Source organism: Homo sapiens, chromosome 1, assembly GCF_000001405.40.
Source record: "Homo sapiens chromosome 1, GRCh38.p14 Primary Assembly".
NCBI lineage: Eukaryota > Metazoa > Chordata > Mammalia > Primates > Hominidae > Homo > Homo sapiens.
This window is the reverse complement of record NC_000001.11, coordinates 178,659,223-178,686,336: the sequence shown is the minus strand read 5'-3', so window position 1 is coordinate 178,686,336 and position 27,114 is coordinate 178,659,223. Positions and strand designations below refer to the sequence as shown.

General features: G+C 40.2%; 1 non-coding gene across 1 annotated transcript, besides 3 other annotated features; it reads right to left on the bottom strand.

The window, feature by feature from the left end:
• Positions 1,167-2,366: an enhancer, noted in NCBI's record as "BRD4-independent group 4 enhancer chr1:178653106-178654305 (GRCh37/hg19 assembly coordinates)". NCBI's record gives its function as "activates an origin of replication core promoter dependent on BRD2, P300/CBP, MED14 and CDK7 cofactors, and independent of BRD4, by STARR-seq in HCT116 cells {active_cell/tissue: HCT116}" and the evidence as "EXISTENCE:reporter gene assay evidence [ECO:0000049][PMID:35650434]".
• Positions 3,916-4,476: an enhancer, noted in NCBI's record as "NANOG hESC enhancer chr1:178650996-178651556 (GRCh37/hg19 assembly coordinates)". NCBI's record gives its function as "activates a minimal SCP1, AML or CMV promoter by ChIP-STARR-seq in naive H9 embryonic stem cells {active_cell/tissue: H9 hESC(naive)}" and the evidence as "EXISTENCE:reporter gene assay evidence [ECO:0000049][PMID:30033119]".
• Positions 8,503-8,588, bottom strand: MIR4424 (microRNA 4424). The gene has a single exon (NR_039622.1). It is a non-coding gene; the product is annotated as a microRNA 4424 (primary transcript).
• Positions 21,758-21,967: an enhancer, noted in NCBI's record as "active region_2148". NCBI's record gives its function as "activates an Ori minimal core promoter by ATAC-STARR-seq in GM12878 lymphoblastoid cells {active_cell/tissue: GM12878}" and the evidence as "EXISTENCE:reporter gene assay evidence [ECO:0000049][PMID:35858748]".

The following is a 27,114-nucleotide window of genomic DNA, read 5'->3' as shown; positions in this document are numbered from 1 at the left end:
TTAAGTGTGGGAGACGGAGGCTGCAGTGAGCCAAGATCGTGCCACTGCACTCCAGCCTGGGTGACAGGAGTGAAACCCTATCTCAAATAAAAAAATAAAAAGTGAAAAATTAAAAAGAAAAAAGCACCTTGAACCAGATCACAGATGCAGGAATGAGCAGAAAACTTAGGAGAGGCAACAACACTCACACAGATGGCCAAGGCCCCTCTGGCCTGTGAAAATACTGGTTTGACTGAATGTTATTTGGGATCTTTCCTTTACACATGAATAATTAAATGTATCCCATGTATGTTCTGAGCTAAAGCAGAAAGAACAGAAAAACACTTAACCTTTTCAAAATTATTTCACAGCTGAACTTGTTCCAATTGACTCCTGATATGTTAATGAAATAGTAGTGGTTGTCATTTAATGTTTCTAGTGTGATCAGAATCAGAAGCAAACGAAATATTCTGAATTTTCTCTTTCATAGACTGTAAGAGTAATAGAAATGAGATTATGTCTTGTCCAGGCCTAGTAAATAAGTAAATCTTAAATAAATGAATAAATACCATTCATTAGGGTTTGCCTCTGTTTCACATTCAATACATCTACCTAGCATTCAACACATCTGATTTAATGAAAACTTCAGAAAACCCTGTGAAGTTATTATTACCTCTATTTCACAGATGAGAAATGAGGCCTGGAAAAGTCAAATAACTTGTTCAAAATCACACAGCTAATAAGTGGTGGAACCAGGCCGGGCGCGGTGGCTCATGCCTGTAATCCCAGCAGTTTGGGAGGCTGGGGCTGGTGGATCACCTGAGGTCAGGAGTTCAAGACCAGCCTGGCCAACATGGTGAACCCCGTCTCTGCTAAAAATACAAAAATTAGCCAGGTGTGGCAGTGGGTGCCTGCAATTCCAGCTACTCAGGAGGCTGAGGCAGGAGAATCGCTTGAACCTGGGAGGCGGGTGTTGCAGTGAGCTGAGATCACACCATTGCAATACAGCCTGGATGACAGAGTGAAGCTGCGTTTCAAAAAAAAAAAAAAGTACTGGAACCAGAATTGGGACCCAATTCTATCTGACTAAATCCATATCCTTTCCACATCCCCCTGTCTTTATGTATGTGAATGTATAGACAGAGCATGTTCATGACTCTACATGGTCAAATATCATGCATGTGTACAGAGCAATCTCAAAATAGAAGTTTTTAGTTCTTTCTAAAAACAAATTTATCCAGGGGAGAAGATCATCATAAAGACATAAACATGCCTACTGGATTTTCAGAGGCTCCTATAAGTTCTTTAATACTTAGATATCTGGACTGCAAAATAGTCTTATTTTTTTCCTTTTGTTGTGGATTTATTTTTCAAGGAGTTGTATAGCAATGACACATTGGATTGTTATTTCTGAGGCTTGTTTTGAAATATGTATTGAAACCTATGAACTCTGCAGTTCCTGTGGTCACACATTTTTTCTTAATGACTGTTAAATGATGTGTTTTTTTTCAAAAGCTCTAAGAGAGCATGACCTTTACCCAACAGGTTTCAATTTTCAAAAAATATTTCCTTACTTTTACACTAAGCTAGATATTTATTTTCATTTCCCTAGTTTCCCATTCACTTTAGCAGATCTTCATGTGCTCAGCCTCTATGCCAAGGCCTGTGAGGGCTTCAAAAGGAGGACACATGGGTTGGTTAAGTTTTCCAGTATCAGCTCTTCAGAGAGCCTGGCCTTCACCACCCAAGCAGACACCCTCCCCCATGCCCACCCTCATCATTCTCTGAATAAGGTACGCTTTTCATCTCTTCATTTCTTCTCACAATCTGTAATTGTTTCATTTATCTACTTGTTTATTAACTGTTGTCCCCACATAAATTTTGCTTTTTTTTTTTTTTTTTTTTTTTTTTTGATGCAGAGTCTCGCTCTGTTGCCCAGGCTGGTGTGCAGTGGTGTGATCTTGGCTTCCTGCAACCTCTGTCTCCCAGGTTCAAGCAGTTCTCCAGCCTCGGCCTCCTGAGTAGCTGGAATTACAGGCATGTGCAACCACATTCAGCTAATTTTTTGTATTTTTAGTAGAGATAGGGTTTCGCCATGTTGGCCAGGCTAGTTTCAAGCTCCCAGCCTCAGGTGATCTACTCTCCTCAGCCTCCCAAAGTGTTGGGATTACAGGCATGAGCCATCACGCCTGGCCGACATGACACAAGTTCTGAGAGGGCAGAGATCTCATCTGTCTTCCTCACTGCTGTGTCCCCCAGCAACTTAGCATAGTACTTGGCACAGAAAGCTCTGAATAAAAATTGCTGACTGACTGAATGAGTAAATGGATGTCTCCAGAACCTAGCAATGCCTACCACATGGTAGGCGCTCCATGAACCTTTTCTCATAATGAATGAAGTCATCAAGAAAGGAGACAGGATTTGACCTGTGATGTGAGGATGTGAGGTAATGATCGTGAAGTTCAGTCCACTCAAAAAGCACCTGAGGCCAGGTGCGGTGGCCTATAGAGGGGCATTCAACCTTTTGTCTGTACAGAACAGGCATTTTTTTTTTTCTGGCAAATGCTCCTTAAAACCATGTGGGGGCTACTAATCATGAAGTACTTCAGAGGTATGGCACATGCTCAAGTTGAGTTAATCAGTGTTCTTCTTTCTTCTGGGCACATTGACTGGTCTCTAGATAGGCACAAAGTCCCGCCCAGGTCATTCAGTGTCTTTTTACCACTCATTTTCAGACTCAAGCGGAAGAAAGATATTCCTTTTTTCTCTAGTCAGAGAGCTGCAAGGATGTGTGCCCAAGGCAGCTATGTCTTCAAAGCTGGTCTGAGAGGATGATGCCAACAGGCAGAAATTCAAAGGCAGGGGATGGTAAGCAAGCCCCAATGGCCAAGGGCCAGAGGACTTTTTCAAGGCTTAACTGTTCAGCTTCAAATCTGTGAGTGAATCTTGTGTCTTATCATAAATAACCTCCCTAAAAAACAAAAACTTAAGTGATTAGGTTGAATCTGAGAATCCCAAGTAATACAAATATGGGTAGGTGAACAGGAGTAGGGATGAGCTTTTGGATAAAAGCACGAAGGTTAGATTAAATATGATTTTTAGGAAAGTTCATAATGAAACGCTTAAATGATAGGTGTTTATGACCTTCAGCCAATGTATATTACTGCTATCTCTAGTATGACCCTCATTTATACAGTTAGCTTTTTCCATTAAAATAGGAAATGGAATGTGATGACATGAGGAAATACTTAGGATATAAAACTAAGTGGAAAAAGATAAATATGAATACAGATACAGCTAGAGTACAACTATATAGAGGACAATGATGCAGTGAAATTGCACAGACTTAGAGTCATGGATTTTGATTTGAATCCAGTTTCAATTTCCTAGGGTGTGAACTTGAGCATATTAATATCTTTGAGCTTTTGTTTTTCTCATCTGTAAATCAGGGATAATATCTTTGAGGGGTTTTGAGAGATAAAATGAAATATAGTATGTAAAATCCCTAGCGCAGTGCCTGGCATTGAATAGATGTTAGTGTTCCATCCTGTTACAAAATAGTAAAACTTGCTGCCTAGAAAACTAGAAGAAAAAAGTCTAAATGTTAACAGTACTTGTGTTTGGATTCCTCCAACAAACGTTTATTCAAGACCAACAATGTACAGGCACTAAGGATAAAACAGTGAACAAAGTGGACAAAGTCCTTGACCTCATGGAGCCTAAATTCTGGGTAGGAATATAGACAATGAACAAAGACATAAATTAAACAGTGATTCACACATCCTGAAGTGCTAAAGATCAGAAGAACCCAGCATTTGTGTATGTGGAAGTGGTAGTGCAACAAGTTTAAACCACGTGTCCTGAAAAGCCTCACTGAGAAAGTGATATTTGAGCAAAGACTTGAAGATGAAGGATGGTAGCACTATGGATACTTTTTCCTTTTTTCTTATATCTACTTCTCTGATTTTTAAAATGAGCATTTACATTTTATTGTTTTTAATTTTTTATTTTGAAAAATGGTTTAACTTTTCTAGCCTTATTAAGGTATAATCAAAAAATAAAAATTGTATACCTCTAACATGTACAATGTGATGATTTTATCCATATAATAAAGATTTGATTATATGTATGTTTTATATGTATACACACACAGTGAAATGATTACCACAATCAAGCTGATTAACATATCCATTACCTCACATTGTCACCTGTGGTGAGAACACTTAAGATCTATGCACACAGCAAATTTCAAGTACACAATAGGTCGGGTGTGGTGGTTCATGCCTGTAATCCCAGCACTTTGGGAGGTTGAGGTGGGAGGATCACTTGAGGTCAGGAGTTTGAGACCAGACTGGCCAACATGGTGAAACCCCATTTACTAAAAATACAAAAATTAGCTGAGTGTGGTGGAGCATGCCTGTAGTCCCAGGTACTCAGGAGGCTGAGGTGGCAGAATCACTTGAGTCTGGGAGGCAGAGGTTACAGTGAGCTGAGTTTGCGCCACTGCACTCCAGCCTGGGTTACAGAGCAAGACTCAGTCTCAAAAAAAAAAAAAAAAAAGTATGCAATAGTCACCATGATGTATGTAAATTCCCAGAATTTATTAATCTTAGAACTGAAAGTCTGTACCTTCAGTTAACATCTCCCTCCACAACCCTTCCCCCTCGCCTCAGCCCCTGGCAACCACCATTCTACTCTCTGCTTCTATGAGTTTGACTAGTATAGATTCCACATATAAGTGAGATAATATAGTATTTGTCTTTCTATATCTAGCTTAATTCACTTAGCATAATCTCCTCCAGGTTCAAGCCTGTTATCACAAATCGTGGGATCTTCTTCCTTTTTCATGGCTGAATGATATTCCAATATGTGTGTGTGTGTGTCTGTGTGTGTGTATGTGCACGTGTGTGTGTATGTGCGTGTGTATAACATTTTCTTTATCCATTCATCTGTGGACAGACACTTGTATTATTTCCATATCTTGGCTACTGTGAATACTGCTCAATGAGAATGGGAGTGCAGATACAGGTTGAATATACCTTATCTGAAATGTTTGGGGCCAGAAGTGTTTTGGATTTCAGATTTTGAAATATTTCCAGATTATGAGATATCTTAGGGATGGGAGCCAAGTCTAAACACAAAGTTCATTTATGTTTCATATATACATTATACACATAGCCTGAAGGTAATTTTATACAATATTTTAAATAATTTTGTGCACAAAACAAAATTTGTGTACACTGAACCATCAGAAAGCACAAGTATCACTATCTCAGCCACCCAAGTGGACAATCTGTGGTTGTTTGGCATCATCATCATTCCTGACTCTGAATTTATATGCTACCAATAAGCAACCATTTTCTCAGACTTATTCACACATTAGTACTTACAATAAAAAATGTGAAATATCATTAATACAGTGAAAAAATAATGTGTTCAGGGAAACTAAGCAGCACAGTGGCATCGCCAGAATACCTGTATCAGCTGTGAAACAATGGTAACGACAAAGGAAGCAAATGTTTTTGCTTCTCTGTCTACAATGCTGCGTTTCAATTAAAAAGTTACAACTTTACACTGTATTTCTTTTTCTTTTTCTTTCTTTCTTTTTTTTTTTGAGACAGAGTTTCGCTATTGTTGCCCAGGCTGGAGGGCAACGGCGCGATCTCAGCTCACCACAACCTCCGCCTCCCGGGTTCAAGCGATTCTCCTGCCTCAGCCTCCCAAGTAGCTGGGATTACAGGTGTGCCACCACGCCCAGCTAATTTTGTATTTTTAGTAGAGACGGGGTTTCTCCATGTTGGTCAGGTCTCAAACTCCCGACCTCAGGTGATCCACCCACCTTGGCCTCCCAAAGTGCTGGGATTACAGGCGTGAGCCACCACGCCCAGCCTGTATTTCTTTTTTTTAGGTGAGAAGAAACATCAAAAGAAGTTGAAGGACCAGGAAGTGGGTCCTCTAGGGATGAGGGGGCATCTGCTGGCTTTTTAAAGTGTTTCCTCCAGATTAATCTGCTTCATTGACCATGGTTTTTGCCTTAGAAGTCTCTCTTGATTTTATAAACAGACATGATTTCTTGTTCTATTATGAATGCACACTGCTCAAATCCTTCAATAAGCTCATCACACATTTGCACCATGTCATCTGTAGGCACTTTTTCTGCAGTGTTAACAACATCATCTTCGTCATCACTATGATCACAATCACCTTGATTCAGAACCATTTTCGCTATTTTACCATAAATCTGTGAATGAACAACTGGAGCCTCGGTATTGATGTTAAAAAGTCTTCAATATTCACTTCTTCCAGCTTACTTAGAGACTCCAAAAGTATATTTTTTGCATATGTAAGGAGGTCAGGCATCATTTTATTCTAACTTGACATATGGAATCCTTTAGAGTCACCATCTTGTTTATCATCATCACTGAACATAGTTGTAGGACACAGGTTATGCCAGGCCAGTGACTTTAGTCACTGTGTGCCAAGCATTGCAAAAGCATATATAGTATACATAGCTAAACTCCTTTTGAAAACCTTCCACACCCACACCTCTGTCCACTGCTGTTAGAATGCTGTTTAAGAAAGTGTTTTTATATTTACTCTTATCTAAGAATTCCCTGGTCATGTGGTTGAAATAATGGAGTCACATTTGGGGGAAAGTACGTGGCATAAACATTATTTTTGGTGAGAATTTCAGCTGGCGGATGAGAATGAGCATAACAGTTGTCAAGGAATAATGAAATCTTCCAATTGCCATCCAGCCCAGCTTCCCAGCAGTGAGCACATGCCACTGGTACAAAATGTTTGTGAAATCAATCAGAAAAGATATTCCTGGTGATCCATGCCTTTTTCTTAATATAATCATAGATTGGTATGAAATTCACTTTTTGGAAACAGTGAGGATGCAAGCTTTTCCCTACCTCAGCAAGTTTACACTTATGTAACTTATGCATACATGCTGCATTGGAACATCCCAGCATAGTTATTCTGTCCTTGGCATCCTTAATTCCTGTAGGAGCTGTCCGATTAGCAGTGGTCAGTGTCTTTCTGGGGCAACAATGCCAAAATAGCGATGTCTCATTAGCATTATTGCTATAGTTTGGATGTTTGTCCCCTCCAAATCTTATGTTGAAGTTTGATCACCAGTGTTGGAGGTGGGAACTAATGGGAGGTGTTTGAATCGGGCAGTGTGGGGCGGGGGTTTGCAGATCCCTGGTAAATAGATTCATGGCTTCCCTGAGGGGAGGAGGCATGAGTGGGTTCTCACTCTATTAGAGAGAGCTGATTGTTAAAAAGAGCCTGGGACCTCCCCAACCCCTGCTTCTTCTCTTGCCATGTGATTTCTGCACAAGATGGCTCTCGCTTCACTTTCCACTATGAGTGGAAGCAATCTGAGGGCCTCACCAGAAGCAGATGCTGGCACCGTATTTTTTGTGCAGCCTGAAGACCCATGAGCCAAATAAACCTCTTTACTTTGTAAATTCCCCAGCCTCAGGCATTCCTTTATAGCAACACAAAATGTACTTAGACAATTACAAGCTTGTTCTGGCATCAGATTTTCATCAGTGATGACCTTGACAAATTCATCAATGAATTTCTCTACTGCTTTGTGATGAGCAGATGCTTTACCACAAAAAAACTTCAAAAATTTAATACCATATCTTTTTAAAAATTTCTGCAACCAGCCTATTGAATATTCACAGCTCCCTCCAATTTTCAGTTCACTGTGATAGATGTTTGCTTGTTTCATGATCAGCATACCATTAAGTGGCATGTGTTCACTGCAATGCTGACAGATCCACTCTTTCAATACATAATCGAGATCTTCATTTTTAGCTTTATGCTTTTCCATTTTTCATAACTTCTATTCATCACTTTAAGCATAGAACTTCAACAGCTTATCCTTCTGTTTCTTCAGGTCTTATATGGTGGCCATTCCAACACAATACTCTTCTATAAGACATTTCACACTTACACTGCTGTCCAGTTTCTCCAATAGCTTGACTTTCTTTCTTTCTTTTTTGTTGAAACAGAGTATCTCTCTGTCTCTCAGACTGGAGTGTGCAATGGCGCGATCTCTGCTCACTGCAACCCTCACCTCCCAGGTTCAAGCAATCCTCCCCTCTCAGCCTCCCAAGTAGCTAGGATTACAGGTGTGCATCACCATACCTGGATACTTTTTTTTTTTTTTGGATTTTTAGTAGAAACATCATTTCACCATGTTGGCTGGGCTGATCTTGAACTCCTAACTTCAAGTGATCTGCCCACCTTGGTCTCCCAAAGTGCTAGGATTATAGGTGTGAGCCACTGTGCCTGGCCTGCAACCTCCTTCTCCCAGGCTCAAGCCATCCTCCCACCTCAGCTTCCCACCATCATGCCTTACAAATTTTTGTAATTTTTTTTTTTTTTTTGATGGAGTCTTGCTCTGTCACCCAGGCTGGAGTGCATTGGTGTGATCTTGGCTCACTGCAACCTCCACCTCCCAGGTTCAAGTGATTCTCCTACCTCAGCCTCCAGAGTTTCTAGACTACATCACACACAGAGTTAACTTGAAATGGACTAACTAGTGGAAAAATTAGTCCATTTTGAGTTAACTCTGTGTGTGATGTAAGATAATGGTCCAATTTCATTATTTTGCATGAGAATATTCAGTTTTCCTCATGCCATTTATTGAAGAGATGATCCTTTCCCTATTATGTATTCTTAGTGCCTTTATTAAAGATTAGTTGACTATATATGCATGTAGTTTTTCCTGGGCTCTCTATTGGTCTATGTGTCTGTTTTTATGCCATTGCCATACTGTTGATTCCTATAGTTTTGTAATATTATTTGAAATCAAGAAATGTGTGCCTCTACCTTTGTTCTCTTTGGCCATTCGGGGTCTTTCATGGTTCCACATAAATATTCAGATAGTTTTTTTCTATTTCTGTGAAAAATGTCATTGGAATTTCATTGAGATTGCATTGAATCTGTAGAGCACTTTGGGTAGTATGGCTATCTTAACAATATGAATTCTTCCAGTCCGTGAACACAGAATTTCTATCTTTCCATTTTATTTGTGTCTTCTTTCATTTCTGTCATCAATGTCATAATTTTCCGTGTACAAATCTTTCACTTCCTTGGTTTAAGTATTTTATTTTTTCTCATGCTATTGTAAATGGGATTGTTTTCTTCTTTTTCAGATAGTTTGTTATTAGTGTATAGAAATGCAACTGATTTTTGTATGATGATTTTGTATCCTGGCACTTTACTGAATTTTAAAATTATTTCCAACAGTTGTTTTGGAGGAGTCTTTAGGGTCTGCCACATATAAGATCATGTCATCTGCAAACAGAGACAATTTCACTTCTTCCTTTCCTATTTGGATGGCTGTTACTTCTTTTTCTTGCTTAATTGCTCTGGCTAGAACTTCCAGTACTATGTTAAATAGAAGTAGCGAGAGTAGGCATCCTTGTCTTGTTCTTGATCTTAGAAAGGAAGCTATCAGTTTTCCACCAGTGAATATGATGTTACCTGTGTGTTTGTAATATATGGCCTTTATTATGTTGAGGTACCTTCCTTCTATACCTAATTTGTAGAGAATTTTTATCATAAAAGGATGTTAAATGCTTTCTCTGCATCAATTGAGATGATCATATGATTTTTACCTTTATCCTGTTAATGTGGTTTATTACATTTATTGATTTGTGTATGTTGAACCATCCGTACATACCAAGGATAAATTCCACTTGATCATAGTGTATGCTCCTTTTAATGTGCTGTTGAATTCAGCCAGTTAATATATATTTTTTTAATTTAACATTTTTTTTTGAGACAGAGTCTCACTCTGTCACCCGGGCTGGAGGGCCATTGTGCAATCTCAGCTCACTGCAACCTCTGCCTCCCGGGTTTAAGTGATTCTTGTGCCTCAACCTCCCAAGTAGCTGGGACTTCAGGCATACATCACCTTGCCCAGCCAATTTTTGTTTTGTTTTGCTTTTTGAGACAGAGTCTTGCTCTGCCACCCAGGCTGGAATGTAGTGATGCAATCTCGGCTCACTGCAGTCTCCGCCTCCTGGGCTCAAGCTATTCTCATGCTTCAGCCTCCCAAGTAGCTGGGATTACAGATGTGCACCACCACACCCAGCTAACTTTTCTAATTTTAGTAGAGACATGGTTTCACCATATTGGCCAGGCTAGTCTCAAACTCCTGACTTCAGGTGATCCACCCACCTCGGCCTCCCAAAGTGCTGGGATTACAGGTGGGAGTCACCGCACCTGGCCCAATTTTTGTATTTTCAGTAAAGACCGGGTTTCACTATGTTGGCCAGGCTGGTCTAAACTCTTGGCCTCAAGTGATCTGCCCACCTTGGCATCCCCAAGTGAGCCACTGTGCCTGGCCTCAGCCTGCAAAAATTTTATTGAGAATTTTTCCATCTGTGTTCAGTATAAGCCTGTAAGTTTCTTTTCTTTTAGTGTTCTTATCTAACTTTGATGCAAGGGTAATACTGGCCTTGTAAAAAGAGTTTGGAAATGTTCCTCCCTCTTGATTTTTTTTTTTAGAAAAGTTTTAGAAGAATTGGTGTTTATTCTTCTCTGTTTGGTGGAATCCACCTAATCTTTTGTATTTTTGTGGTATCAGTTGTAACTATTCTTTTGTCATTTCTGATTGTAATTTTTTGAGTCATCTTTCTTTTTTTCTTGGTTAGTTTACTAAAGGTTTGTCAATTTTGTTTATCTTTTTAAAAAATCAACTCTTAGTTTCTTTGATCTTTTAAATTGTCTTTCTGTTCTCTATTTCATTTACTTCTGCTCTAATTTTTGTTATTTTTCTCCCTTCTGCTAACTTTGGGCTTAGTTTGTCTTTTTTTTTTTTTGAGACAGAGTCTCACTCTGTTGCACAGGCTAGAGTAAAGTCGCACAGTCTCAGCTCACTGCAGCCTCTGCCTCCTGGCTTCAAGGAATTCTCCTGCCTCAGCCTCCTGAGGGTGCCTGCCACCAGGCCTGGCTAATTTTTGTATTTTTAGTAGGGATGGGGTTTCACCATGTTGGCCATGAACTCCTGACCTCAAGTGATCTGCCCACCTCGACCTCCCAAACTGCTGGGGTTACAGGCATGAGCCACTGCACCTGGCTGTGAGATCTTTCTTTTTAAAATTTAGGTATTTATCTCTATAAATTCCTCTGTTAGAACTGCTTTTGTTGCATCCCATGTTTGGTATGTTATGTTTCTATTTCTGTTGGTTTGAAGACAGTTTTTTAAATCTTCTTTGACCCACTGGTTGTTCAAGAGCATGTTGTTTAATTTCTATTAATACTATTTGTGAATTTTCCAATTTTCCTTGTTATTAATTTATAGTTCTATATTATTGATTTCAGGAAAGATACTTGATGTGATTTCAATCTTCTTTAATTTGTTAAGACTTGTGCTATGGCCTAATATATGATCTATCCTAGAGAATATTCCATTGCTCTTGAGAAAAATGTGAAATCTGCTGCTGTTGAGTGGAATGTTCCATGTGTGTCTGTTAGGTCCATTTGGTTTATAGCATTATTCAAGTCTACTGTTTCCTTATTGATTTTTTGTCTGAATGATCTATCCATTGTTGAAAGTGGCATATGGCCAGGCATGGTGGCTCATGCCTGTAATCCCAGCACTTTGAGAGGCCGAGGCAAGCAGATCACCTGAGGTCAGGAATTTGAGACCAGCCTGGCCAACATGGTGAAACCCTGTCTCTACTAAAAATACCAAAATTAGCTGGGCATGGTGGCACAATTCTGTAATCCCAGCTACTTGGGAGGCTGAGGCATGAGAATTGCTTGAATTCGGGAGGCCGAGGTTACAGTGAGCTGAGATCACACCACTGCACTCCAGCCTGGGTGACAGAGCAAGACTCTGTCTCAAAATAAAAAATTAAAAAAAAAAAACAAAAAACAGTGGCATACTGAATTCTCCTATTATTGTATTGCTATCTATTTCTCTCTTTAGTCTTGTTAATATTTCCTTTATGTGTTTAGGTTCTCTGACATTGGGTGCATATATATTTATAATTTTTATATTCTCTTGATGAATTGACTCCTTTATCATTGTTTAATGACCTTCTTGGTTTCTTGTGACAGATTTTGACTGAAAGTCTATTTTGGCTGATATAAGTATAGCCACTTCTGCTCTCTTTTGGTTACTATTTGCAAAGGATATATTTTCCCATCCATTCACTTTTAGCCTATGTAGGCTAAAGTGAGTCTATTGTAGTCAGTATATTATTGGTCTTGTTTTATTTTTTAATTTTTTTTTTTATTTTTTGAGATGGAGTTTTGCTCTTGTTGCCCAGGCTGGAGTACAATGGCATGATCTCGGCTCACTGCAACCTCCGCTTCCCGGGTTCAAGCCATTCTCCTGCCTCAGTCTCCTGAGTAGCTGGGATTACAGGCATGTGCCACCACGCCCAGCTAATTTTGTATTTTTAGTAGAGATGGGGTTTCTCCATGTTGGTCAGGCTGGTCTCAAACTCCTGACATCAGGTGATCCGCCTGCCTTGGCCTACCAAAGTGCTGGGATTACAGCCATGAGCCATCATACCTGGCCTCGTTTTATTTTTAAAATCTATTCAACCACTCTGTGTCTTTTGATTGGAGAATTTAAACCTTTATATTTAAAGTAATTCTTGATAGGTAAAGACTTACTATTGCCATTTGTTAATTGTTTTCTGACAGCTTTGTAATTCCTTTGTTCTTTTCTTTCTCTCTTATTGTCTTTCTTTGTGATTTAATTTTTTGGTAGTGCTATGCTTTGATTATGTACCCTTTTATCCATTATATATCTGCTAGATTTTTTTTTCTTTTTGGTTGCCATGAGGATTACATAAAATATTTTATAGTTATAATGGTCTATTTTAACCTGATAACAAATTAACTTCAATTACATACAAATACTTTACATTTTTACTTCTCTTCCACCTTGCATTTTATGCTACTGATGTCACACTTAACATCATTTTATTGCGTCTATTAACAAATTATTGTAGCTATAGTTATTTTAAACATTTTTGTCTTTTTTTTTTTTTTTTCTGAGTCAGAGTTTCACTCTTGTTGCCCAGGCTGGAGTGTAATGGTGCAATCTTGGCTCACTACAACCTCTGCCTCCCAAGTTCAAGTGATTCTCATGCCCTGGCCTCCTGAGTAGCTGGGATTACAGGCGTGTGCTGCCACCCCTGGCTAATTTTTTGTATTTTTAGTAGAGATGAGGTTTCACCATGTTGGCCATGCTAGTCTTGAACTCCTGACCTCAGGTGATCTGCCTGCCTCGGCCTCCCAAAATGCTGAGATTACAGGCGTGAGCCACCGTACCTGGCCATATTTTTGTTTTTTAACTTTTATACTAGAAGTAAAAATGATTTACCTACTGCTATTATAGTATTAGAGCATTCTGAACTTGACTATGTATTTACCTTTACCAGTGACTTTTGTGCTTTCATATATTTTTATGTTGCTACTTAGCATCCTTTTGTTTCAACTTGCAGAACTCCCTTTAGCATTTTTTGTAAGGCAGTTTTAGTGGTGAGCTTTGTTACATTTTGTCTGGGAATGTCTTTATCTCTTCTTTATTTCTGAAGGATGGCTTTTCTGGCTTTAGTATTTTGGTTGGCATGCTTTTTTTTTTTTAATTTTGTTTTTGTTTTTTAAGCACTTTGAATATATCTGCTGAGAAATCTCTGATAGCCTAATTGATTTCCCTTGTATGTGAAGAGTTTCTCTTGCTGCTTTCAAAATTTTCTCTGTGTTTGATTTTTGATGATTTGACCATATGTCTTGGAATAGTCTTCTTTGGATTGATCTTGGGAATTTTGAGATTTTATGAGTCTTGATGTCCACTTCCCTCCCAAGATTTGGGAACTTTTCAGCCACTATTGTTTTAAATAAGATTTCTACCTCTTTCTCTTTTTCTCTTCTTCTGGGACTTCCATAATGCACACATTTATTCAATGGTGTCCCATGGGTCTTGTATTCTTTTGTCACTTCTTAAATTCTTTTTTCCTTTTCATTCCTCTAATTGGCTCTGGTCCCATGTGTCTCCTCAAGGGTCTACAGTTGGATCCTCAGATAAAGGGCCTGTTACCAGGTGAATGAATGGGTGTGGCTCCCTCCAGGTCTCTGGTAGGACTCCTACTAGGTCACTGGATGGGTCCCTGGACAGGCGGTGATGACTCCAAATGTTAGCTGAGAGGGGCTGGAACTGAGTCACATGGCTGTTTCAGGATCCACAGCTGTGATGGAGGTCTAACTGGGGACTTGACAAGAGAAAGTCTTTATCTGCTTAAACCAGTGTGTAAAGACTGGCAGAAGTGACTGCACCTTCAAATGCACAGACATGAATGCAAGGCTACATGAATCATGAAGAAACAGGCAAACATGACACCATCAAAGGAAACTAATAAAGACCTAATAACTAGCTCCAAAAGCAGGCTAGAGCTGGGTCACAGGGCTGCTTCAGGACCTGCAGTTGGATTGAAGTCAGTGGGGCTGCCTCCAGGGGGACTGCCCTGCCAAAGACAGCTCCTGAACCATGGCTGAGAGGGGCTGAAGCCGGGTCATGGACTGCTTTAGGGTCCATAGCCAGGACCCAGGTCAGCCAGCCTATTATCCAAAGCATGGGCAGGGGTGTCTCCTCCTGAGTCCCTTGATGGATGGTGCTGGTGGGGAGGACCTAAGCCAAATAGGGCTATATCTCAGTCCATTGGCAGATGGGGCTATTTCTGGGTTTATAGCCAGGATCATGGTCAGTGAGCCTTCCACCTGGACATGGGCCTGCCTTCTTAAAATGGCTTACCTAGGTCTTGGGTTCCACCTGAGGTTTGCAACCTCCTACGTAGATCCCAAAGCTCTCACAAAGGCACTTTTGTCTGTGGATGGCTGCCAAATCATTGTTGCTATGGGGGGATATGAGCAGGGACCTCCTATTCAAATATTTTGTTGGCATCATTCTACAAACTGATTATTTTTTTGAGACCGAGTCTCACACTGTCGCCCAGGCTGGAGTGCAATGGCACGATCTCGGCTCACTGCAACATCTGCCTCCCAGGTTCAAGCGATTCTGCTGCCTCAGCCTCTCTAGTAGCTGGGATTACAGGCATGCACCACCATGCCCGGCTAATTTTTTGTATTTTTAGTAGAGAACGGGTTTCACTATGTTGGCCAGGCTGGTCTCAAACTCCTGACCTTGTGATCCACCTGCCTTGGCCTCCCAAAGTGCTGGGATTACAGGTGTGAGCCACTTCGCCTGGCCAAAATGATTTTTAGATTTAAAAAATATAAATGAGGCTGGGCGCAGTGGCTCACGCTTATAATCCCAGCACTTTGGGAGGCCGAGGTGGGCAGATCACCTGAGGTCAGGAGTTCAAGACCAGCCTGGCCAAAATGGTGAAACCCCGTCTCTACTAAACATACAAAAATTAGCTGGCATGTGCAAATGCCTGTAATCCCAGCTAGTCGGGAGGCTGAGGCAAGAGAATCACTTGAACCCAGGAGGTGGAGGTTGCAGTGAGCAGAGATTGTGCCATTGCACTCCAGCCTGGGGGACAAGAGCGAGACTTCATCTCAAAAAAATATAAATATAAATATAAATATAAATATATAAATATAAATATATAAATATAAATATATATATATCCAAAACAATTTTACTAAAAGCATTTATTATTATAACTAATTTATTCGTGATTCCTAGCTCTAAAAAATTTTTCTTTATCACTATTTTCAAAACATCATAGCATTCCTAGAAGGCAAGTAATATTTTATCCCTATTTTACAAATTTAAAATGAACTTCCTCAAGGTCATACAATTAGTAAATGTTAGAATGAATTCTAGAGTCCAGACTTTCATGCTGCAGATCCCATGTTCTAGGGTAAATTCATATTTCTTACAGTCCCTATACACAGAATCATCTATCTTCTCTCAAAATTTACCTATTCAGCTATACCTTCAGAGGCACTACTCAATTTTAACAATTTAACAGTTATTTATTGCAGCCACTGGAGTGGGAACTACAACAATATAATGGTCCCTACACATATGGGAATATATGTAAATTTTTTGAGTGGGGTTGTGTTATTTAAAACGCCATATGGAAATGACCTTTATGTGATATTTAGTATGATGCTTTTTAAGTGGTACCCTATTCCAAATGTTTACTGCTAAAATGTTTTCCCTAGAATGAAAATTGAAAACAAGAGGGCACTAACATCTATCAGTGTTATGTTCTGGGATGATGTGAAAATAGCCATTGTGCTCATTGACACTTTTTACAAAAGGGAGAGTTAGAAAATGTGCCTTGAGCTTGTTAGATGTGAGGGAGTAAATCAGATATTCCATTTTTCTAAGAGCCTAATCCCCAGCAGGTATTTCTCATCCTGACTTCCTTTGTAATTTTTCTGCTCACTTCTGTGACAGTTTTAGCTGAAACCCAGAATTTATGTTTCAATGCAGAATCAAAACATACAAATAAACTAAATACAACAGGGCACTATAACTAAAATATATAGTTATAAAATATACTCATAAAAATATTGGCTTCGAGTTGATAGAATTAACTTTATGGTCTTCAACAAAAACACACTTTTTCTATTTGTTAGAGAAATCCTGAAAGTATCTGAGTCTTTGAAATAGTAGTACTAAAACAAAGTAAGAATGACCTCTTGTTCCTGTTATTCAACACCACCAATGCTACAACCAAAAAAAAAAAAAAAAAAAGAAAAGAAAGAGAGACAATAAGAGAAAAGAAATTTTCTTAGCTGAGAACCAAAATAGTTGCCTCAAGAAGTCTGCAGTATTTTCTAATCTATATAGTTATGGCTGTAAATTAAAGGAAATAAAATGTGTTAAAACACACAACATGACACAAAGTAGATGTTCAATACCTGTTAGTTGAATCTTCATTTGATTCTAAATCTGAATGGATGGTAGAAAATTTGTGAACTGTAGCACTCATCAATTCTGCCATTTACAAAACCTCTTTTGTGACTATTTCCTCAACTGATACGACTTCATTGACTTAGGTGTTAAACCCAATAGAACATTTTTTTTTTTTTTTTTTTTGAGATGGAGTCTCGCTGTCTCCCAGGCAGGAGTGCAGTGGCGCGGTCACGGCTCACCGCAAGCTCCGCCCCCCGGGTTCACACCATTCTCCTGCCTCAGCCTCCCGAGTAGCTGGGACTACAGGCGCCTGCCACCACGCCCGGCTAAATTTTTTTTGTATTTTTAGTAGAGACGGGGTTTCACCGTGTTCGCCAGGATGGTCTCGATCTCCTGACCTCGTGATCCGCCCGCCTCGGCCTCCCAAAGTGCTGGGATTACATTGTTTTTTAATTAAGCACTTAATATATTCCTAGCCTCATGTATGTTTTAGAAGATTTGTATTAATTAGCTTCCCTTTAAATCTCTCTTTTCCTCTCAAACCTCAGACAAGAGTCAGTCAGGGTGGAAGCTTTTTCAGGTTAGGATCTATTTATAAAAGGCATGGTGTGTTTAAACTTGTGTCATTGTCACAACTTGTAGGAAAATGTTCAAATATTTAAAAAGCAAACTAGATCATTTGAAGGGCAAAGAGAAATAGCTTTGATCCATAGATTTTACCAAGAACTATTTGCATGTTCTATTTTGCAGAGCCTGCACATTTATCTGCAGATTATGAAATGTTTTGTGAACACTAAAGCAGAAAACTCCCCAGAGTAGACAATCTTCTGTCTTCCCTTGTTACTTCTATCTTGCAGAACTTCTCTAAGCTGTAATTCTTGCTTCTGTGCTCTTTAGATGTCAGCAGTGGTAAGAATAGACTCTTTACATAAAGGGAGGAAGATCTGACTGCGAACAGGAGAAGCGGCATATGCCATGCTACCCAAAGGGCAGTTTCTCTCTCTCTCTCTCCTTCCTTCCTTCCTTCCTGCCTCCCTCCCTTCTCCTTTCTCGTTCTCTCTTTCTTTCTTCTTCTTTTATTTTTTTATTTTTTTTTATTTTTGAGATGGAGTCTCACTCTGTTGCCCAGGCTGGAGTGCAGTGGCACTGCACTCCTGCGCCTCCTGGGTTCAAGCACTTCTCTCACATCAGCCTTCTGAGTAGCTGGAATTACAGGCCTGCACCACCATGCCCGGCTAATTTTTCTGTTTTTAGTAGAGATGGGGTTTTGCCATTTTGGCCAGGCTGGTCTTGAACTTCTGACTTTAAGTTATCTGCCACCTTGGCCTCCCGAAGTGCTGGGATTCCTGGGATTACAGGCATGAGCCACTGCACCTGACTGAGGACTCCACTTTTTAAATCTCCTTTTTAAAAGAAAAAAAAAATTGAGCTCAACTGCATGAACTCCACTTTTTAAATCTCTGTGGAAGTAAGAGTAAGAGTACCTATGGGGAAACTCATGGCAGGAAAGGTTAAAACCAAAGGGGCTACTTCCCTTCATCTCCCCACCAGAAACTAAAAACTTCAACAACACTTGAATCAAGGGGCTTTGAAATTGTCTGATCCTCCATCAGTTCTTTGGATGAGAAATTGGTCTGGGCCAATTCCTTGGTAGAGTAGATCTACTGAGGTTATTTCAAATACAGCAACAATCCAGGACTAGCCCACGTTAGATAACTGTTGCTTTTATAAACTTATTTTGTGTGTGGTAAAATACACATATCATAGCATTTCCTATCTTAATAATTTTTAAGCATACAAGTCAGTGGCATTAATTACATTCATAACAAGTTCATTTATTCATTCATTCAACATATCTTAGTTGAGTGTATGCTATAGGGCATGCATACTGTCTGATCTTAAAAACAAAGATCCCTAGTTTCATGGAGCTTTCTTCATTCTAGCAGAGAGAGGCAGAAAACTAATAGCAAACATAATAAATAAATAGATTAGGTGGCATGTTAGTAGGTGCCAAAGGCTATGGTTAGGTCCTGGGGCACAGCGTGCCCAGTGTCTGACGGCTTCTGCATCTTTCAAATAGTCCAGAGACCCTTGCTTATCTCCTACCTCCAAAGTCCCACCTTCAAAGACTATTAGTGAACTTGGAGAGTTCACTGGTGTATTAGTAGTTCGTTTTCACGCTGCTGGTAAAGACATACCCAAAAACTGGGAACAAAAAGAGGTTTAATTGGACTTACAGTTCCACATGGCTGGGGAGGCCTCAGAATCGCAGTGGAAGGTGAAAGGCACTTCTTCCATCGCGGCAGCAAGAGAGAAATGAGCAAGATGCAAAAGCGGAAGCCCCTGATAAACCCATCAGATCTCGTGAGACTTATTCACTATCAAGAGAATAGCACGGGAAAGACCAGCCCCCATGATTCAATTACCTCCCCCTGGGTCCCTCCCACAACACGTGGGGATTCTGGGAGATACAATCGAGTTGAGATTTGAATGGGGACACAGCCAAGCCATATCAACTGGTTACCTGACTGAGTAATTAACAAAGAAAATGTGTTCCTTTGAACTGATCTATACGACAACTAAATATACAACAAATGCTGATGGCAGTTGGGGCTGTCAGTTAAAAAGTGTAAAGGTTCTTGCTACACATAGTGTGTTTTCCCCAGACAATAGTCTTCACTTTGAGAATAAGTGTCAAGACAGGTAATTTAAACAGAAAGCCATGCTTTTTTTCACCAATAATGTGATTTTTTAAATAAAAGAAAGAATTATATAGAAATATATACATTTTGAAAATTCTGTCACCTCAAAACCTAAAGTGGCCAAGGACAGAAGAGATGAGGAATGCAGTGATTTATGGTACTCTGCAATGACAATGGAAAACGAATTTTGAAATGCTTTCTTTTGTCAAGTGCAAGGATGCTATCAGATGTTTCCTATAATATATTTTGAGCTTCTGCTTAGGCTGTTTCAGGTAGCAAGGAACACTGTTAACAGAAGTTTATTATAAGCATATATGTGGAAGGAAATAGTAAGCACATGATTATGAAACTAGACCACACCTTGATCATGATCAAAATTAACGTTACCAATGCAGGACAGATGGACATCTGTGCCTCCAGCTGTGATACTTCAAAAAGGACACAAAATCACTAATGTAGTATTCCAACCAGAAATGCATAACCTGGGAGAATATCAGGTAATATCAAGTTGAGGGATGTTCAATAAAGTATCTGACTTGATTTCTTTAAAAATGGCAATGTTATAAAAGACATAACATTGAAAGGCTGAGCCAACGGTTCCAGATTAAAGGAGACTGAAGAGTAGCATAACCAACTCTTCACCCATTCACCTAGGACTGAGTAGTTTCCCAGGATGCAGGACTTTCAGTGCTAAAATGGAGAAGGTCTGGGAAAACAGGGTTATTCTGAATTGATGACTTGATCACCCTGCTGAGGAGACATAATCATTAAATGCAATATGTAAAACATGTGATCCTGGACTGGATCGTGGAATGGAGTGAAAAAAAAAACATGCTACAAGTACATTATTGGGATAATTCACAGAATTAGAACATCAACTTAAAAAAAGTACAGTAAAGTACACAAAACATAAAACTTACCATTTTAACTATTTGTAGATGTACAGCTCAGTAGCATTAAGTCCATTCACACTATTGTGCAACCATCATCACTATCCATCTCCAGAATGTTTTTATCTTTCCATACCTAAACTCTATACCTGTCAAATAATAACTCCCCATTTCCTCCTACTCCTAGCTCCTGGTCACCACCATTCTACTTTCTGTCTCTAGGACTTTGCCTATTCTAGGTATCTCATGTAGGTGAAATCATACAGTATTTGTCCTTTTGTATCCAGTTTATTTCACTTAGCGTAATGTTTTCAAGGTCTATTTATGTTATAGCTTGTGCCAGAATTTCATTCCTTTTTAAGGCTGAATCATTTTCCATTGTATGTATGTACCACATTTGTTTTTGTTTTTGTTTTTGTTTTGTTTTGTTTTGAGACAAAATCTCACTCTGTCATCCAGGCTGGAGTGCAGTGGCACGATCATGGCTCACTGCAAACTCCACCTCCCAGGTTCAAGTGATTCTCCTGCCTCAGCCTCTCAATCAGCTAGGATTACAGGTGCTCGCCATCACACCCGGCTAATTTTTGTATTTTTAGTAGAGATGGGGTTTCACCATGTTGGCCAGGCTGGTTTTGAACTCCTGACCTCAGGTGATCTGCCTGCCTCGGCCTCCCAAAGTGCTGGGATTACAGGCGTGAACCACTGCGCCTGGCCACATTTTGTTTATTCAGTCATCTGTTGATGAACATTTGGGTTGTTTCTACCTTTTCGCTGTTGTGAATAGTGCTGCTATGAACAATGGTGTAGAAATGTGGGGTTTAACATTGAACTATTATATCAATGTAAAATTGCCTGAATTGGAGCTGTGTACCACGACTGTGTAAGAAAATATCTAAGGAAATACATACTGAAATATTAAGAAAAAAAGTGATATATGCATCCTAGTCTCAAATGCTTCAGACAAAAATGAGAAAGAGAGAGAAAGAAATGTGGCAAAATGTTAAAAATTGCTGAATCTGGGTAAAGGGTATGAGTTCTTTGCAATATTCTTGCAACTTTTCTGTAAGTTAATTTTTTTGAGTACAAGAGAAAGGAAGCAAGGGAGAAATTTGATGTATGATATGCGGTCCTTGTGGAGAAAGAAGAATCTATGAAAAGCTGGTCCTCACAGAGCTTGCAATGTCATCAGGGTAATGGAAGATAACGCAGGATTCATCACAGCTTACTTGGGTATCTTGTCCCTATGAACAGAAGTTGGCAACTATACCTATTTCTAGTGCTCGCTCTTTCAGTTTCCAAACTACTCTTTGCTTCTGCCGCTACCAACTAATTTCTCCATCCTGTCCTCTCTTCCTCATCTTCAGCTTGCTCATAGCTTCTATTTTCTTAGGGCTTCTACTTCCTCTTCTCTGTGTGTGTGTTGGCTGCTGCTGCCATCTTCCTCCGGTCCAGGCAGCTGTTGTGGGGTCATGTGGTACACAGCGTGACAACCTTTGCATAGGAGGGCTGCAGCCATGTAACATAAGTGTCTTGCTTGGCCAGTCTAGTCCAACTAAAAGACTATGGTTGGAGCCCTAGATGTGGTGTAGGGAGTTGGTGGTGAGAAAAAGCAAAACACCAAATCTCCCCTGAGGCATTGTGACCCATGTTTGATTTACCTTGGAAATATGAGGAAAAAAATAGAAACTGTGTATATGAAAGTTCAGTAGAATTGGAGGAGACAAGATTTCATTGTAGTTTTGGAGAACATTTTAAGGTTGAGTACTGGAAAAATTCGTCTCTCTCTCCCTCCCTCACTTCATTCCTTCCTTTTTCCCCTGATTTCCTTCCACAAAAATTCATTATGTGCAAGGCATTATAATAGTTGCCACGGGGAATCTAAACTGTATAAGATGTGGTCCCTGCTACAAGAAGCTTATAATCTAGGGTAGTGCATTTTAAACTACAGGCTGCAACCCATTAGTGATTAGTAGATTGTGAAATCAAATCGGTGCATCTGACCAGCATTTAAAAAAACTGAAATTCAATAGAAAGCTCTTAGAGTCCGTCACACTTGGTCATGGTAAATACTGTTGAATGAACATTTTTATAGGTGTGTGTATGTGTACACAGGATTGTGACATAAAATGTATTTCTGCTGTGGGTTATAGAAAAAATAGTCTCAAAGCCATTGATCTAGTAGAACTTAAGCCTATAGCTTCAGTGATCATCCCAGTGCTGATGTCTATCTCCAGCCTAGAACTTCTTCCTGCTCCACACACGGCTTTTCAACTCCCAGCTGGACATCTCAAACTAAACATATCCCATATTGCCCATATCATCTTCCTCCCTAAAATGTTTCTGTTCCAGACATTGAATGTTGGTTAACGACATGCACATCTATCTGGTCATTCAGGACAGAAGACTGAGAGGTACCTAAAGTGTCTTCTTCTGTGCCTTCTCCACTCATTCTTCACATTCAGTTAGCCAATCTGCCTCCTCCCCTCCATCCTTATTAGCACTCTTTGGTTTAGGACCTGTATAATTTCTCTCCTAGTTTCTTGCCATACCTTCTTAACTGGTCTCCTTTTCTTCAGTCTTGTTTCCTAACTCCTGCCCAACAAGTCTGTGTCCTACATTTATTCCCAAGTAATCTTTTAAAAATGCTAAAATGAGTCAGGTGCAATGGCTTACACCTACAATCCCAGCACTTTGGGAGGTTGAGGCAGGAGGATCACTTGAGCCCAGGAGTTTGAGGTCAGCCTGGGCAACATAGTGAGACCCTGTCTCTACAAATAATATTTTTTTAAAAAATTACCCAGGCATGGTGGTGGTATGTGCCTGTGGTCCCAGCTATGTGTAAGGCTAAGGCAAGAGGATCGCCTAAGCCCAGGAGGGCTGTGATTGTGGCACAGCACTCTAGCCTAGGCAACAGAGTAAGACTCTGTCTCAATTTTTAAAAAAAATGTTAACATGACATTTTTTTCTGGTGAAAAACCTTTGATGGTTCCCCACTGCTTTGAGAAAAAATGTCTAATCATGAGAGCCAACATCTTGCTTGGTCTACTTTTGCTACCTTCATCAGCCTCAGTTCCTCATCCTCTCTTAGCCTTACCCCTGATTCTAGTGGTACCAACTAGCTCAGGTGCTCTCATATTTCAGTGACTTTGACTCCCACCTTGAATGTGCTTGCTTCGTTTCTTCGCCTGCGTCTAAATCTTACCCCTCTTTCCCAGCACAGCTCTAATGTCACCTGGTCTTGGGACCCTTTCTGACTGCCCTCCAAGGTTCTCCTTGCATCCTAGGCACGCTGCTGTCCTAGCTAACAGCGCGGTCATTGTTGTTTGGGTTGTCTTCATTATGACCTAGCTGCTAGCAAGGACTCTGTTTTGTTCATCTTTATAAAATAAGCAACTAGCCCAGTACTTGACATCCTAGGCACTGACCAAACATTTGTTGAAAAAATGAATGAAGATGAAATCTCTCAACAGCCCACTCCTTGATTATAATGATAGTATCATAATAATGTTAAATAATTCTTGACAATACTCTTGTTTTCAAAAGTCTTTAGAAGTAGAGGGTGACTGGTTGGCTAGATGTGCTTTGTCTCTATCAGTCCTTTTTCCACCGTCCCCTTCTCTGTCTGGTTCCGATGAGACTAAGAGAACATTGCCATCTGCTTGTAGGAAACATCCAGGAATTCTCCCACCAACAGATTCCTGTTAAAAAAACATACACACAGCCAGAAAAGACAAGAAAAGAAGACAAGAATGCAATGTGTATTGTGTTTATTTTATCTTAAACCCACTTTGTTGTTCTTATTGTTATCTGTATTGTGTTCTAGGCCTTAGGGAGAGAGGTCAGATCCTTTTGTTGCTTACTTTGGATGTAAACGTGCCTGGAAGCAGTGGGCCTGGTCCAGAGTGACTTTGAAGGAATCTTTCAGTCCAGACCCCATAATGCAGGGTCCCAAAGTCACCATATGAATTCATTTGCCCCCACAGAACTATCTCAATTTCCTCTTCACTCTAGGCACTGGGGATATAGTGACAAAGGAAATGTGGCCCCTGTCCAGAGGAGAAAGGGATCATTTGTTTTTTTCCTCTGTATATTCTTTTGTTGTCCTGGACTTTTGTTTTCTCAGTGTTTTTTTCTTGAAACAAGTGAGAGTTAGATATTTCTAAGTAATACAGCATTTTTTTTTTTTTTACAAAGGGTTCCACCTCTATGTGACCAGGCAGAGCTATTCTCTGTGTGTGTGTGTGTGTGTGTGTGTGTGTGTGTGTGTGTGTGTGTGTGTGTTTGTGTGTGTGTGAGAGAGAGAGAGAGAGATAGACCCAGTCTCACTCTGTCACCCAGGCTGGAGTGCAGTGGCGTGATCTTGGCTCACTGCAACCTCCGTCTCCTGGGCTCAAGCAATTCTTGTGCCTCAGCCTCCCTAGTAGCTGGGACTACAGGCGTGCGCCACCATGCCTGGCTAATTTTTTGAATTTTTAGTAGAGACGGGTTTTCACCATGTTGGCCAGGCTGGTCTCGAACTCCTGACTTCAAGTGATCCACCTGGCTTAGCCTCCCAAAGTGCTGGGATTACAGGCGTGAGCCACTGCGCCAGCCTGACAGAGCTATTCTTATTGCAAAAGTTTGGAGTTCAGAAATGAGAGCCCCAAGGGTCAATATATTACTTATCTGAAACAAACAGATGATGGAGGGAAAATGTTCTCTGGAATTTGCTTTTTTCATATGTAACATGGGTGTGATGTTATTTCCTTCACATGTGAACACTCACTGAGCACCCAGCAGAGAGGTGAGTACCCAGGGATGTAACACCCGCTAGATATAAGTCTTCTTCCTAGTGCATCAGAAAACAGGAGGGACACTGAGGCCAGTGTGGAGGAAGGTAGCACAGGTTCAGTGTTCCCATCACCCATGGTGATGCTGTGGTGTATGACACAGTAGGAGGCACAATGGAGGCATTTTCTTTTTTCAAATGCAATAAATGGCCTAGTTACAAGCTTGGGAATAAAGTCAATGCTGAAGCACTCTTTAAAATGTCGCTTTGGTGCTACATAATGAGATGCCTTTCTCTTCTTTGAGAAGAGGTGGAAGCCAGGGAACTATAACAGGTTTAACCATCCAATTAGTCACTTCATCTTAACAGAAAAAAATGAGTGGGTCCTTTGGGTTTTGCTGTGCTTATCTAGGTCATTTCCAGCTTCTAGTCACAGTAAATCTATTCTACACAGCTGGAACATTAGCAACATCTGGATTTCTCAAAAGGTCATGTGTGTGCATCATTAGAGCAAGACTACAAAGTATCATTTTGAATCATAATGAATATTCCACTTCCAAAAGCAAGGATGTTTTTAAGGCAGCTGCAGCAAAACTAAGGAGGCAATTTACTTGAAATTCAATTGTGATCATTTTTTGGTGATTAAAAACCTAACATTTTCCCAACAATATCTCCAATGTGCTTTCAGAAAGCCCCCCAGTGCCATGCCTTCACACAAGAACTAATACTTACTGGATTCTATAGCAACAAACAATTATTTCTAACCAGTGAGTATGTGAGGTCCTCCTGGCTGGGTCCATTCTCAGATTCAGCTGTGACCTCTAAGTTTCTGAGACATATTCCAAGAGCAAAGGGGCTTCTCCTTGGGATTTCTGCTTAGGCTGTGGGGAAATCTAATTGTAGCACCCTTTATCTGTTCCCAAGGTACTTTGCCTGAGTATTGTGCCGGCAGCAGAATACTCCTTTATTCCCAACTTCAGTCACGACATGACACCACACTCATCCTTGACACCTTGACACCCCACTGGAAAATGTCACGTCCCCTTCAAATAACTCCTCTATGTGACACATTCAAAATTTGCTCTGCTCTGACCCTTTTTAACCTATTCAATCTCAGTTCCTTTTTGCCTCTGTCATTTTCTCTCTGCCTCTATTAGATCAGTTTATTTTTATTGCCACACGAATCTTGTGGTTTCCCCACCTAGCTTATGTTAGGCCCTTTCTTCTTTTTTTTTCACCTACTCAAATATTTCCAGCCCTTCCAAAGCCCCAGATAGAATCTTTGTTTTGTTTTTGGTTTTTGTTGTTGTTTTGTTTTTAGTGTACTAATACTCATTATTCTTCTGATTCCCCAAACCCCCTTGTTATTAATAGCTGATATCCGTTCCTCATTTGTTCTTTCATTCTTGCAACAAATATTTACTAAGAACCCACTATTGGTGCTATAGTTTGGATATTTGTCCCTGCCTAACTCTCATGTTGGATTGTAATCCCCAGTGCTGGAGGCGGGACCTGGTGGGAGGTGTTTGGGTCATGTGGGCAGATCCCTTATGGATTGGTGCTGTCTTCATGACAGTGAGTGAGTTCTTATGAGATCTGGTCATTTAAAAGTGTATGGCAACTGCCCCACTCTATCTATTGCACCTGGTCCCACCATGTGAGACACCTGCTCCCTCTTCACCTTCTGCCATGATTGTGAGCTTCCTGAGGGCTCCCTGGAAGCCAAGCCGATGCCAGAACCATACTTCCTGTAAAGGCTGCAGAACCAGAAGCCAATTAAACCTCTTTTTTTCTAAATTACCTAGCCTCATGTATTTCTTTATAGCAACACAAAAACAGCCTAATACAGCTAGTGACCATTCTGGAACTCAGGATGCCATGGTAAGTAAG